This window comes from Homo sapiens, chromosome 14 (assembly GCF_000001405.40).
Source record: "Homo sapiens chromosome 14, GRCh38.p14 Primary Assembly".
NCBI lineage: Eukaryota > Metazoa > Chordata > Mammalia > Primates > Hominidae > Homo > Homo sapiens.
In genome coordinates, this window is record NC_000014.9 from 54,966,181 (window position 1) to 54,982,308 (window position 16,128).

Here is a 16,128-nt window from a genome sequence, read left to right on the forward strand (position 1 = left end):
AAAAAAAATTAGCTAGGCGTGGTGGTGTGTGCCTGTAATCCTAGCTACTCGGGAGGCTGAGGCAGAATTGCGTGAACCCGGGAGGCAGAGGTTGCAGTGAGCCGAGATCGCACCACTGCACTCCAGCCTGGGTGACAGAACGAGACTCCGTCGCACAAAAAACAACAACAACAACAAAAAAAAACTTAAGAATCTTAGGTTGTGGGACTTAGTCCTAATGCACAGACCTTTAAGAAATTCAACCTATAGAAAAGCATTTAACTTTAACGTTTTCAGTATATTTATTTTACTCACCGCAAGCATTTTCATTAAAAGTTCCTGTTGCTCTTTTGTTGCTTGATTTTTAGTGCTCTCTTCATATTCATAACCATTTTTAGCTAAATAATCAAGGTGGTTGTGAAATATAACTGAACGCCAAAATTGCTCCTATAAAAGCAAATAAAATTGCTTAAGGCCAACTATCACCTTAATATGAGGCAAGCGTTAAATATTTATCTTAAGATACCAGTTTTTGAATAAAATATGTTCTGAACTCTTCCTTTCTATAAGTTTATTTTACAATTTAAATTCTAGTGTGATACTACAGCTTAACTTTTTCCCCTATCCTTAAAAAAGGCAGCTGGGGAGGAATACAGCATTTAAAACAGTTTCCTAGCTATCATAATTAATGCTCAGAGAATTTGGTAAACAAGATTTTTAAAAGCTAACTTGTTTCTTATTTAGAATAACTAACTGCAAGATTTCAAATGACTTTTGATGACACAAGGCTAGGACTAGGGTCAGGCAAGCCAGGTGTTATGGCACAAAATGTATGGAGGCACTTCTTCTCAGGGACATGCCCCATCCTGAGAGTAAGTCTTTCCCCAGTGGGTCTCTGACAGTCACACCCATTTACTTTGTAGACAAAGTCCCTGGAAGCAGTGATGGCAATCAGGTGGCCTGGTGATCCCAAGCAGTCCTCTTCCCTCCCTGCTACCCCTATTTATGTAATTATACAGTAATGAATATTCAATACTGGCCATCAGGATAATTTTAAAGTGTGTGTATCACAGGTGCTGTATTATCAAATTCAAAGTGTCAAGGTAAGACTTCCACATACCTCCATTTGTCCTTTCTCTGTTGCAATCTGACAGTAAGGAAGCTTAAAGGATAATATAGCAACAGCAGGGCGTGGAAGGGTTGGGGGAAACCGAGAACCTTTACAAGGAATGCACCTGTTAGTAAAGAAAAGTTCCATCATAAAAATTTACTAACATGTCATAAAAACTACAAAATTTAAAAAGTTTTCAAAAGTTAGTAACTTAGAATAGTAATATTATAATAGCTGCCTTAATCATATATAACAAATATCTCTTTTTAAAAAAGTGTTTTAGGCTTGACTAGGCATAAAGACTATCCCTACATGCATTTCAAGAATAGAAAAATTCCTTCTCACATCTCACTTGATTTATTTTTTTTGAGACAGGGTCTCACTGTGTTGCCCAGGCTAAAGCACGGTGGTGTGATCACGGCTCACTGAAGCCCCAACCTCCCAAGTTCAAGCAATCCTCCCACCTCAGCCTCCCAAGTAGCTGGGACTACAGATATATGCCACCATGCCTGGCTAACTTTTGTATTTTCAGTAGCGATGGGGTTTTGCCATGTTGCCCAGGCTGGACTCGAACTCCTGGGCTAAAGTGTGCCTCCCACCTTTGCCTCCCAAAGTGTTGGGATTACAGGCGTGAGCTACCCTGCCCAACCTCACATCTCACTTTATTAAATGACAACCACTAAAAGTGAAATCAGCTCTCTTCATATTTTCCTTAGCAAACTACCACTTTTAAAACATAAAAATTGTACCATTAATACCTGTCATGGAATCCATGTTATCACCAAGATAAATGCTGATGAAGCTGCACATGGAACATACTCTAAGGTCAACCACATGCTTGGCCGTAAAGCAAGTCTCAAAAATTTTTTTTAAATTGAAATCATACCAAGCATATATTCTGAGACCATAGTAAAATAAAAATAGAAATCAATACTGAGGATCTCTCAGAACCACACAAATTACATGGAAAGTAAACAACATACTCCAGAATGACTTTTGAATAAACAATGAAATTAAGCAGAAATTGAAATATTCTTTGAAATAAATGAAAACAGACACAACATATCAAAATATATGGGATGCAGCAAAAGCAATGTTAAGAGGAACGTTTATAGCACTAAACACCTATATCAAGTTAGAAAGATCTCAAATTAACAATCTAACATTGCATCTAGGGAAACTAGATAAACGAGAACACACTAACCCCAAAGCTAGCAGAAGAAAAGAAATAACTAAAATAACAGCAGAACTAAACAAAATTGAGACTAAAGAATCCATACAAAGGATCAATAAAACAAAAAAAATTGATTTTTTGAAAGGATAAACAAGATCGATAAACTCCTAGCTAGATTAACAAAGAAAAGAAGAGGGAAGCTCCATATAAGCACAATCAGAAAATGGCAAAGGTGACACTACAACTGATTCCACAGAAATACAAAAGATCCTCAGAGACTATTATGAACACTTCTATGTGCACAAACCAGAAAATTTAGAGGAAATGGGCTCACACCTGTAATCCCAATACTTTTGGAGGCAAAGGTGGGAGAATCACTTGAGGTCAGAAGTTTGACACCACCCTGGGCAACAAAATGAGACCCAATTGCTACAAAAATTTTTAAAGATTAGCCAGGTGTGGTGGTGTGTATCTGTAGCTCCAGCTGCTCAGAAGACTGAGATGGGAAGATTAATTGAGCTTGGGAGGTTGAGGCTGCAGTGAGCCATGATCATGCCACTGCACTCCAGCCTAGGTAAGACCTTGTTTCTATTTATTTATTTATTTATTTTTGAGACGGAGTCTCGCTTTGTTGCCCAGGCTGGAGTGCAGTGGCACGATCTCGGCTCACTGCAAGCTCCGCCTTCCAGGTTCACGCAATTCTCCTGCCTCAGCCTCCCAAGTAGCTGAGACTACAGGTGCCCACCACCACGCCCAGCTAATGTTTTGTATTTTTAGTAGAGACGGGGTTTCACCGTGGTCTCGATCTCCTGACCTTGTGATCCGCCCGCCTATGCCTCCCAAAGTGCTGGGATTACAGGCGTGAGCCACCGCGCCCAGCATTAAGACTCCGTTTCAAGAAAAAAAAAAAAAAAAGAGAGAGAGAAAGAGAAAGTCCTCAAAAGCAATTGCAACAAAAACCAAAACTGACAAGTGGGACCTAATTAGACTAAAGAACTTCTGCACAGCAAAGAAAATCTAGAGGAAATGGATAAATTCCTGGAAACATAAAACTTCCCAAGACTGACTCAGAAAAAACAGAAATTCTGAACAAACCAATAATGAGTTCCAAAATTGAATCGTAATAAATAAAAAACCTATCAACCAAAAAAAGCCCTGGACCAGAAAAATCACAGCTGAATTCTAGATGCACAAAGAACTGGTACCAGTCCTACTGAAAATATTCCAAAATACCAACTCCTCTCCAAATCACTCTATAAAGCCAGCATTATCCTGATACCAAAATCTGGCAAAGACACATCAAAAAGAGAAACTACAGGCCAATATCCTTGATGAACACAGATATAAAAATCCTCAACAAAACACTAGCAAACCAAACCCAACAGTACTTTAGGAAGTTAATACACCACAACCAGTAGGTTTTACTCCTGGGATGTAAGGTTGGTTCAACATATGCAAATCAATATATGCAATTCACTGCATCAACAGAATTAAAAACAAAAACCACATGATCATCTCAATAGATGCAGAAAAAGCTTTCGATAAAATTCAACATCCTTTCATAATAAAGACCTCCAACATACTAGGCATTGAAGGAACATAACTCAAAATAAAAAGAGCCATCTATGGCAAACCCACAGACAACACCATATGAATGGGAAAAAGCTGGAAGCATTACCCTTAAGAATTGGAATAAGACAAGGTTGGCCACTCTTTTCACTCATATTTAACAGAGTACTGAAAATCTTAGCCAGAACAATCAAGTAAGATACCAAAATAGGAAAAGAAGTCAAATATCTCTCCACTGACTATATTACTCTATACATAGAATTGCTAAAGGGCTCCTAGATAAAAGACTTTGGTAAAGTTTCAGGATACAAAATCAATATACAAAAATCAGTAGCATTTTTATACACCAATAATGTTCGAGCTGAGAGTCAAATCAAGTATGCAATCCCATTTACAATAGTCATACATGTACATAAAATACCTAGGAATATATCTAACCAAGGAGGTGAAAGATCTCTACAAGAACTACAAAACACTGTTGAAAGAAATCACAGATAACACAAACAAATGGAAACACATTCCACACTCATGGATTAGAAGAATCAATATCATTAAAATGACCATACTGTGTCTGCAGCAACCTTGGTTTGCATCGAAGTCACAGCACCAAAAAAAAAAAAAAAGAAAGAAAGAAGAAAGAAAAAGACCATACTCCCCAAAGCAATCTATAGATTCAACACTATTCCTATCAAATTACCAATGTCATTTTTCACAGAATTAGAAAAAACTATTCTAAAATTCATATGGAACCAAAAAAGAGCCCAAATAGCCAAAGGATCTAAAACAAAAACAACAAAGCTGGAGGCATCACATTACCCAACATCAAACTCTACTTCAAGGCTAGTGAAAAAGAACATGGCACTGGTGCACAAACAGAAACACAGACCAGTGGAACACAATAGGGAACACAGAAATAAAGCCACACACCTACAACCAACTGATCTTTGAGAAAGCTGACAAAAACAAGGAACTGGGAAAGGAATCCCTACTCAATAAATGGTGCTGAGATAACTGGCTAACCACATGCAGAATGAAACTGGACCCTTAACTATCACCATGTGCAAAAATTAACTCAAGATGGATTAAACACTTAAATGTAAGACCTCAGAATATAAAAATCCCAGAAGAAACCCTAGCAAATACCCTTCAGGATATTGGCCTTGGTAAATATTTCATGACTAAGTCCACAAAAGCAATTGCAACAAAAACAAAAATTGACAAGTGGGACCTAATTAAACCAAAGAGCTTCTGCGCAGCAAAAGAAACTACCAAGAGTAAACAGGTCAGGTGCAATGGCTCACATCTGTAATCCCAGCACTTTGGGAGGCCAAGGCAGGAGGATTACTTGAGCCCAGGAGTTTGAGACCAGCCTGGGCAACAAAGGGAGACCTGTCTCTACAAAAAAATTTAAAAATTATCCAGGTGTGGTGGCATGTGCCTGTAGTCTTGTGCAATCCCATTTACAATAGCCATATGCACACACACAAAATACCTAGGATATATCTAACCAAGGAGGTGAAAGATCTCTACAAGAACTACAAAACACTGTTGAAAGAAACCATAGATGACACAAACAAATGGAAAGACATTTGCAGATCCTGAGGTGGATCACTGAGCCCAGAAAGTCGAGGCTGCAGTGAGCCATGATCTCATCTCACCACCGCACTGTAGCCTGGGTGACAGAATGAGACTCTGCCTCAAAAAAAAAAAAAAAAAAAAAAAAGACATCCCACAGAATGCAAGAAAATGTTCGCAAGCTATGCATCCAACAAAGATCTGATATCCAGAGTCTATAAGGAACTTAAAAAAAAATCAGCAGCAAAAAACAAATATCCCCAATAAAAAGTGGGCAAAGGACATGAACAGACACTTTTCAAAAGAAGACATACAAGGCTGGGAACGGTGGGTCACACCCATAATCCCAGAACTTTGGGAGGCTGAGGTGGGTGGATCACTTGAAACCAGTAGTTTCAGACCAGCCTGGGCAACATGGCAAGACATGTAATCCCAGCACTTTGGGAGGCCGAGGCGGGTGGATCACGAGGTCAGGAAATCGAGACCATCCTGGCTAACACAGTGAAACCCTGTCTCTACTAAAAATATTTTAAAAAATTAGCCAGGCGTGGTGATGGGCGCCTGTAGTCCCAGCTACTCAGGAGGCTGAGGCAGGAGAATGGGGTGAACCCGGGAGGCGGAGCTTGCGGTGAGCCGAGATCACACCACTGCACTCCAGCCTGGGAGACAGAGTGAGACTCGGTCTCACCAAAAAAAAAAAAAAAAGTTGGCCAGATATGGTGGCTCATGTCTGTAATCCCAGCACTTTGAGGGGTGAGGCAGGCAGATCACTTGAGGCCAGGAGCTCGAGACCAGCCTGGCCAATGTGGTGAAAACCCATCTCTACTAAAAATACAAAAATTAGCTGGGTGTGGTGGTGAACGCCTGTAATCCCAGCTACTCGGGAGGGTAAAGCACGAGAATCTCTTGAACCTGGGAAATTGCACTACTGCACTCCAGCCTGGGCAATAAAGCAAGACTGTCACAAAAAAAAAAAAAAAAAAAAAAAAAAAAAAAAAAAAATGCCAATGAGGCATATTCACTTTCATCCATCAGTTTGGGAATTCTTAGTACTGTCGGTATGAGTTGTCAAAAAAGAGAAAAAAATCAGGCATGGTAGTGGGCACTTGTAATCCCAGATATTCAGGAGGCTGAGACAGAAGGGTATCACTTAAGCCAGGAGACCAGCCTGGGCAACATAGCAAGACTCCATTCCAAAAAAGAGAGACAGAAAGATGGTGAAATGCCTAATATAGGTTAAGTGTTTATTAGATATTGGTCAGAGTGAAGCAGAACATCATTAGAAAGACTATAATCTATATCTACTCTGATAAATATGGTAACAGGTCAACGGGGCAAAGACTGTCTAAACCTGTTCTGAGTAGTCTATATAAGGCATTCAAACACGCCCATCATGAGTAGTGCTCTCGCAGCTGATTTATTAAAAAGCATTAATTAATCACAGAATGATTTATATATATATAGAACTCTTTCAACTTATGTACTCCGATTTATTTATTAGAAAAGCACTGGAAAACCATGACTGCACACTATAAATACCACAGGCAAATTTCATATTTTCATAAAGTCATTTAAAAAGACGAAATCTCTTTTTGAATGCTTACTAATAATCATCCACTTAATTTATAGTATAGCCTTTTAATCAGGACATTCTTGAAGGGAGATACTAAGTAGAAGCTAGACCCTAGGGTTTAAAAATTTTATAAATATCTTCCAGTATTATCAAATGCCCACTAGAGTAATTAGAAAACAAGTAAGTGACAATGTCTAGTATTCTTTTTCAAACTACTCAGGCCCCTTTCTTGTGAGATTCAAATACCCTCCCTTCTTTTTTTTCTGACTATACAATAAAAATACAAATGTTTTTAGGGTTCTAATTTTTTTGAACATACAATTTCATTTATTTCTTCCTTCTCTCCTTTTATGATTTTATAAAAAATCTAGTTTTCACCACACAGTATGAGGTGGCAGTGTGAATACCTCAAGTTTGAAAGAATCTTGTGGCAATTCTGTCATAAATCTCTATTTACAAGAATCACTACTTTACTAGTCATGCAAAATGAAAAAGAGCATGTGCATTCACAAAAGATGAGTCCAGGTACATATATATGTACATTAACAAAATTAGAAGAAACACTGTGAGAAATGTTAATTGCCTAAACATTTTTTTCTAAAATGTCCTGTTTAAAAACATTTTACAGCTCACTTTATTGATTTACACATAGTAAGCAATTATCACAAAGAAAAAGGAAATACTGAGTAGGATTTTATTAAGTTACTTTCTAAGCCACATTTACATCAAAGCAGAGCACCAATTCGCATTTTTTTATCCTTTCCTTAGCTTTAGAGACTTCAACTAAAAAGATGTTTTCTCTGTTAAATATCCCCGTCATAGAAGAATTCAAGGAAAAAACAAACACATTTAAACTGCTAATTTGGTGGGTTTTGATGACGACGGAGTTTCCTGGAAACTATGTGCATAAACCACCTGGAAGAGGAATTTAAAAAAAAAAAAACAATGAAAAACCTGGTTTACTAAAAAGACAAAAGTGGCTGGGCACAGTGGCTCATGCCTGTAATCCCAGTACATAAGGAGGCTGAGGTAGGCAGATCGCTTGAGCTCAGGAGCTCAAGACCAGCTCGGGCTACATAGCAAAACCTCGTCTCTACAAAAAAATACAAAAAATACAAAAAATTTGCTAGGCATGGCAGCATGGACCTGTAGCTTTAGCTACTCGGAAGGCGGAGGACGGAGGATCGCTTGAGGCCAGGAGGCAGAAGTTGCAGTGAGCTGAGGTCACGCCACTGCACTCCAGTCTGGGCAACAGAGAGAGATTCTGTCTCAAAAAAAAAAAAAATTACTTCAATTTGTTTTCAAATTGACCACAAAACCTGTTTTGTTTTGTTTTTTTTTTTTTTGTTATATTAAAGAAAGAGTTTAAAAATGCCAAAATAATCAGGCGTGGTGGCTCACTCCTGTAATATCCCAGCACTTTGGGAGCCAAGGCCGGCAGATCACCTGAGCTCTGGAGATCGAGACCAGCCTGGGCAACCTGGCGAAACACTGTCTCTACTAAAAATACAAAAAATTAACTGGGCATGGTGGCACATGCCTGTAATCTCAGCTACTTGGGAGGCTGAGGCATAAGAATCACTTGAACCCGGAAGGAGGAGGTTGCAGTGAGATGAGATTGTGCCACTGTACTAGCCTGGATGACAGAATGAGACTCTGTCTCGAAAAAATAAATAAAAATGCCAAACTGGAGAAAACTAGGTCGTGTCCAGATTAACCTTGCCCCAGCCAGCAAGTTTTGCTTTTTCTTCTGTGTTGGACCGGACTGTCTTCTGCATTTGAGGGGACTTTGCTCACATCTCTTTTAAAGCACTTATTTGGGAGTAGCATAATGACTTTACAAGCCTACCTCTTCCAGGCCACAGCCTCATTTATCTTTGTGTGGTATAGCACATCTAGTCGGTACTATAATAAATGCTAATTCAGTGAACACAACTAGGAAAAATGTCTAGTTTTCAAGCACATTAAATAACTCTTGTTTTGAAAAACTAAACAGAAAAAGAAAGAAGGTCTCTGTTGGTAGAGAGCAAATTAGACTGTAACACAGCAAAATTTATTAACTCTCAGTTATGTATTAACCAGTAGTGTCATGAAAAAATCTTTAGAAGAAACAATACTTGGTAAACTGAAGTTCAGCTCAAAGGGGGCAGGGATGACATTAATACAGATCAGTAATTTCTCATATTCATAATTTTTTTTTTTTTGAGACAGAGTTTCCCTCTGTTGCCCAGGCTGGAGTACAGTGGCGCAATCTCGGCTCACTGCAACCTCTACCTCCCAGGTTGAAGCGATTCTCTTGCCTCAGCCTCCCAAGTAGCTGGGATTACAGGCATCTGCCACCAGGCCTGGCTAATTTTTGTATTTTTAGTAGAGACAGGGTTTCACCATGTTGGCCAGGATAGTCTCAAACTCCTGACCTCAGGGTGATCTGCCTGCCTTGCCCTCCCAAGGTGCTGGGATTACAGGCGTGAGCCACTGCACCCAACCTCATATTCATAATTAAAGGAAAATAGGAAAATTTTATATTGACTTAAATTAATGCTTTTTTTTTTAAAGAGACGGGGTTTTGCTGTTGCCCAGGCTGTCTGCAAACTCCTGGGCTCCAGTGATCCTCCTGCCCCTGTCTTTTAAGTAGCTGGTATTCAGGTGTGCACCGATGTGACACGCTCTCAAATGAATTTTTAAAAATTATTTTTCACAAAATGTACTTTCTTTTAAAGGATCTCTGAACAAAAAGAAAGCATAAATACCACTGAGTTGGGTTAGAAAATGCATTTAAAGTTAAAAGAATAAAGAAAGAGGTATCACTAAGTCACTTCATCTTCACAGAAATTCTGTGAAATGGGTACACTGTGGTTTTAGAGATGAGGAAACAGTGGCACAGAGCCAGGGCTACTGAACGAGGATTTCAGCCAGGATACCACAAGCAGGCAGTGTCACTCGAGAGCTCGAGCTCTGGACCACTAGGCCACATTGGCTTTCCAGAGAAGCATGTGATTTGCTATCTTTATCACAAACAATGAGAGCAAACAGAGGCATTAAAAATGCAAATAAATATGAAGATGAATTTCTTTATTTCCTTTTTATTTTAGAGACAAAGTCTCCTTCTGTCACGCAGGTTGGGGTGCAGGGGCTGTATAACCTTGAACTCCTGGGTTCAAGTCATACCCTTACCTCAGCCTCCCGAGCAGCTGGGACTACAGGCATGTACCACCATGCCTGGCAGGGTCTCTCTATGTTGCCCAGGCTAGCCTCAAACTCCTGGCCTCAAGTGATCCCCATGCTTTGGCCTCCCGATGTGTTGGGATTACAGCTGTGAGTCACAAAGCCTGGCCAAAAATGAATTTCTTGCTAGCCAAAATAGGTAAGGCTCTTTAAACACAACAGCAGGCTACTAAAAAAGTGATTGCAGAATTTTATTCCCCGAACTTCCATGTACCGCTATCCACAGAAAGGAAATGAATCATCTCTAAATATGCCAACATGTTAAGCAAAACTGGTGTGAAAAGTACAGTAAGCCATACTGAGAAGTGTTGCTTCCAATCTTTGAAAAATATTTAAGGCTATATACCAAAAAATAAATAATAAATAATAAATAAATAAATGTTCTACAAGGGTGTACCAAAAAAAAAGAAAAATATTCTTATTCAAGTTTATTATTCCAGCATAAAGCCAGGAAAATATGAAAATATGAAAACAGTCTGCAGTTATCAATTTATCACATAATATACAAATAAATACATTTCTATCAACAGATTTTTTAGTGTATCTTCTCAGTGCTTCAAATGCCTACTGTATAAGATTCCCCTCAGTAATTCAATTATTCTACAACAAGCTGGTCTTTATAGGAGAAGTATTTATTCTTTCAATCTACTTATCAGCTAACTCCCTTTGTTCCTATATTTTAATACAAAAAAATAAGGTTGTTTTTTTTTTGCCAATAAATAGATGTGTACTCTCTACCAAATTACTTTAATCTTTTTGGACCTTAGTTTTCTCATATGTAAAAATTGGGGAGAAGTGCTGGGGGTGAAGAGAGACAGCAAATAGACCAAAAGAACTTGGTAGTTCCCATTCTTTTATTCCTGTAGGGCTGCTGAGCTATTATAAAGTGTCTAGGAATGCACACAAGCACCATGAATTGTCTGTAGACCAAATACAAAAATAGTTTCCACTTTACATACTAAAATTTTCACATGTATGCAGATAACGTGATTTGTAAATACAATTTTATATTAAAATAAAATTTTCAGGTCTACAGAAGCTTATGTTATCATGCCTGTAATCCCAGCACTTTGGGAGGCCAAGGTGGGAGGATCACTCGAGGTTAGTTCAAGAAAAGCCTAGGGAACATAGCGAGACTGTGTCTCAATAAAGAAATATTCTTTATTAGCTGATACTAAATGTAGAGCTACTAGAGCTACTATTATTTGGAGGCATGAACTGTTCAACATTTAAAAAAGGACTCTTGTTCAAGTCCAGCCTGGATAACGTAAGGAGACCCTGTTTCTAAATAAATAAATAAAAAGGGCTCTTATATTTGAAAATGTCAGGAGCTACTAGTATAGACGGTTTCTAAAATCCTTCTAAGTGTAAAAGCTGTAATTTACAGTCCATTATTTCTTTATCCATTATTGAATATAACAGTTAAATGTTACCAGCTGTAATTATCGTAGTTTTTAACAAGTTAAAATTCTTTACAAATCTTAAATAAAAAGCAAGTAAAAAATGTGTTCCAAAGGGTTGTGTGGAAAAAAAAAAAAAGCATGTTAAGAAAAAAAAAGCCAGCTGGATAAATTACTAAGGGTGTGAAAACTGCAATTGATGAAATACTTGTAATATTAAATGAAATGAAGAAGCAAAATTGTTCATTGCAGATGACTAATTTCATATATTGCAAATAAATAATTTCATATACCTCTAAGATAATGACATTCACTAACAAAATGAATAATCTTACTTGAATAAGCATTAGGCAGAATAGTAAAAATCCTCATAGGTTCAAACCTTAACCTACTATTAAGATAGACTGTGAATTCTTTAATTCAAATTACTAAACTAACTAGATTCCTGAAAATGGACATGCAAGAAATCACTGAGAACAACCTACACTATAAGAACTACTAAAAATAGTGAATGTGGCTTGGCATCTGGCTTATACCTATAATCCTAGCACTTTGGAAGGCTGATGCAAGAGGATCAGTTGAGGCCAGGAATTAGAGGTCAATCTGGGCAAGATGGTGAGACCCCATCTTTACAAAATATTTTTAAAAATTAGCCAGGTGTGGTAGCCTGTGCCTGTAGTTCTACCTACTCAGGAGACTGAGGTGCCAGGATCACTTGAGCCCAGGAATTCAAGGCTGCAGTGAGCTATGACTGCACTACTGCACTCCAGCATGGGCAAATGAGTGATACCCTGGCTCTAAAAAAAAAAAACCGTTAATGAATATACTTCTTCTGATACTAAATATGTCAATATTTAGAATGTAATATTCAGTGATTACAACTGTAAAGGCAAAACACACAGAAATAACCACCAATTCCTCTGTAGTTCTCTACTAATTCAATTTTGCATCCTCTGAGACTATATGTCTTTTCTTCTCAAACATCCCACAATGCCAACCACTGTCTCCAGAAATAACTGAATTCTGCTTCATGATCTGCCAACAAAACAGAAGCCAAAAACAGAAGATAGGAATTTGTTACCTTTTGGCTACCAAATCTATCTGCATTTGTGCCTATTTTTTTCCCTTTCCAGAACTGATGAAATGTCTATTTTCCTATTTTAGACAGGTGATCTAAAAGCTACTACTTTTTTTTCTTTTTTCATTCCTTTCATTGGCTCCTTCTTTTAAATTATCAATCTTATCTTCTTTACTAAATTCATTGCCAAAAGATTACAAAAATGCTATAGAGTCACCTAAGCTAAAAAATCCCTTCAAAGACTTTTTATCCTCCTTTAGGTGCCACCCCAAATCTTTGCTCCTCTTCACACCAAAGTTCTTTTTTTTTGAGATAGGTTCTCTGTCGCCTAGACAGGAGTGCAGAGGTGTGATCATGACTCACTGTAACCTCAACCTCCTGGGCTCAAGTGATCCTCCCCTCTTAGCCTCTCAAGTAGCAGAGACTATAGGTGTGTGCCATCATGCCTGGGTAATTAAAAAAATTTTTTTTTGTTGAAACTGGGTCTCACTATGTTGCCCAGGCTGGTCTCAAACTCCTGGCCTCCAGCATTCCTCCCGCCTTGGGCTCCCAAAGTGTTGGGATTACAGGCGTGAGCCACCTCGCCTGGCCCAATAGTCAAATTTCTTGATAAGAGTTATCCACATATTCTACTTTCATTTCTTTACCTCCCATGCCCACCCCAATCTGGAATTTAACATTTTATCACTTTTATCAGAGTCACCGTTAACCTCCATGTAGCCAAATTAAGAAGTCTTCTTGAACTTAACTTCTGGCCTTATCTGATTTAGTTTATTGAATTGCTGCTTTGTTTAAAAATTCAATTTATTTAACTTTTGAACTAGTAATTCAAAGTTACATGCTCAATTTACATGCTCAAAAAGTATAAAAATGAATACAGAGAAAAGTCTCCTATACTATCCACTGAGTTTCTCTCCGTGAGGTAACTATTATTGTTAGTTTCCTTTTCATTCTTCTAGGAATTCTTTTGCGTATGTAAAGCAAATACAATTACATATTCTTATTCTTTCCCCACTTTTACACAAATGGTATTTATTTCACTTAACACATCTTGCAGATTTTTCTATATCATTATATAGTGTCCTCATCCTTTTTAACAGCTTTGTCAAGATATGATTCACATAATATTGAGTTCACAGAGAATGTACCAGCCATATCATATGGTAAGTATACAATTCAGCCAGGCACAGTGGCTCATGCCTGTAATCCCAACACTTTGGGAGGCCGAGGCGGGAAGATCCCTTAAGCCCAGGAATTTGAGACCAGCCTAGGCAACATGGTGAAACCCTGTCTCTACAAAAAGTAGCTGGGTGTGGTGGTGCGTGCCTGTAGTCCCAGCTACTTGGAAGGCTAAGGTGGGAGGATCGCTTGAGCCCAGGATGTCACTGAAGTGAGCCTGAAGTGAGACATAATCGGGCCACTGTGCTCCAGCCTGGGTGACAGAGTGAGACTCTGTCTCAAAAAAAAAAAAGACATAATTCAGTGGTTTTTTTGTATATTCACAGAATTGTGCATCTATCAACACTAATTTCTGAACATTTTCATCACCCCAAAAAGAAATCCCATGCCACACCCAGCCAATGTATCATTTTATACATATGCCAGCAGCAGTACTTCCCAAACTTTAATGTGCACACGGATCAATATAAAATACTATTAGTCCAGGACCAGGTACGGTGGCTCATGCCTGTACTTTGGGTGGATCACTTGAGGTGGATCACTTGAGGTCAAGAGTTCAAGACCAGCCTGGCCAACATGGTGAAACCCTGTCTCTACTAAAAATACAAAAATTAGCTGGGCATGGTGGCACATGCCTATGTAATCTCAGCTACTGGGGAGGCTGAGGTAGAAGAATAGCTTGAACTCAAAGTGGAGGTTGTAGTGAACTGAGATCACGCCACTGTACTCCAGCCTGGGTGACAGAGTGAGACTCCACATAAAAAAAAAAAAAAAAAAAAAAACTCAGCTGGGCGTGGTGGCTCATGCCTGTAATCCCAGCACTTTGGGAGGCCGAGGCAGGCAGATCACAAGGTCAGGAGATTGAAACCATCCTGGCTAACACGGTGAAACCCCCTCTCTACTAAAAATACAAAAAAATCAGCCAGGCGTGATGGTGCGCACCTATAATCCCAGCTACTGGGGAGGCTGAGGCAGGAGAATGGTGTGATCCCGTGAGGCGGAGCTTGCAGTGAGCTGAGATCACGCCACTACAATCCAGCCTGGGCAACAGAGCGAGACTCTGTCTTCTATTAGTCCTTCCTCCTATTACGATAATTAAGCAAAACATCTCAAAAAGCAGCTTAATTGTATATTTCAATTCTCAATTGAATATATATTGTTTTATTTTCACTTTAACTTTTATATTTATTGTTATTTTATTAAAATAAAAGACAGTAATAAAAGGTGAAATGCCATGTTTAATCAGAATTCCTCTCCCTGTGTGGCTGAAATGATGGTAAGGTCATCCTAATTATTTCTATTTTGTTCAACATGTTTCAAGTAAAGCAAGTGACTGAAAACTTCAGAGTGAATATGAACAAATTCCTAATTTAGTGACTATGGAAAGCAAGTAATTGGACTAAGATAAAAGACAAATACACTTAAAGGGCCTCATAAAAAGAATTTCAACATACTTTTTAAAAAGAGTCAACTTTAGACTTCTTTTAATAGCCCACCTTAGTTGCTGGGGATTTTCATGGATACCAACCACCCAGTAGTGATCAGATTTTCCTTTGCAGTGCTCTCTTGTATTACATATAGGAGTCCACGTATTACCAAGTCCTCTGTTAAGCATTCGAACAATTCCTTCTGAATCCACGTAACAAGGGGTACCTAAACACCAACAGAAAAATCACTTGGAGACATAGCTACATGTTGTTAAAGGAACCCTATTTCAAATATATTATACATACCAAGGATTCAACTTTGCTTTCAAAAGCAAAACACAAAACAGAAGCAAATAATCTAAGATTATTACGTAAAATTTCATTAACCATATAAAGTAAGACCTAACTAAAAAAAGAAAAAACATTGGATTTGATATGACTAAAATTTACACAAATAAAGTGAAAAAACTGAGTTTCAGTGAAAACTATGCCACCTGCTGGAAGATAATAATAATTTCATTTATTTATTTATTTATTATTATTATTTTTTTTTTCGAGATGGAGTCTTGCTGTGTACCCAGGCTGGAGGGCAGTGGCGCGATCTCGGCCCACTGCAAGCTCCGCCTTCCAGGTTCAAGCCATTCTCCTGCCTCAGCCTCCCGAGTAGCTGGGACTACAGGCACCCGCCACCACGCCCAGCTAATTTTTTTTTGTATTTTTAGTAGAGACGGGGTTTCACCATGTTAGCCAGGATGGTCTCAATCTCCTGACCTTGTGATCCACCCGCCTCAGCCTCCCAAAGTGCTGGGATTACAGGCGTGAGCCACCGCGCCCGGCC

At 38.6% G+C, this 16,128-nt stretch overlaps 1 protein-coding gene across 4 annotated transcripts in view; it reads right to left on the reverse strand.

Annotated features, from left to right (window-relative positions):
• WDHD1 (WD repeat and HMG-box DNA binding protein 1) overlaps positions 1 to 16,128 on the reverse strand; it is an 88,151-nt gene that overhangs the window by 27,232 nt on the left and 44,791 nt on the right. For all 4 annotated transcript variants that reach the window (NM_001008396.3, XM_006720012.2, NM_007086.4 and 1 more), the window contains 3 exons: positions 15,360 to 15,516; positions 1,100 to 1,214; positions 295 to 426 (listed from right to left, as the gene is read on the reverse strand). In NM_001008396.3, the coding sequence (NP_001008397.1) occupies positions 295 to 426; positions 1,100 to 1,214; positions 15,360 to 15,516 (404 nt within the window). The remainder of the gene's footprint in view (positions 1 to 294; positions 427 to 1,099; positions 1,215 to 15,359; positions 15,517 to 16,128) is intronic.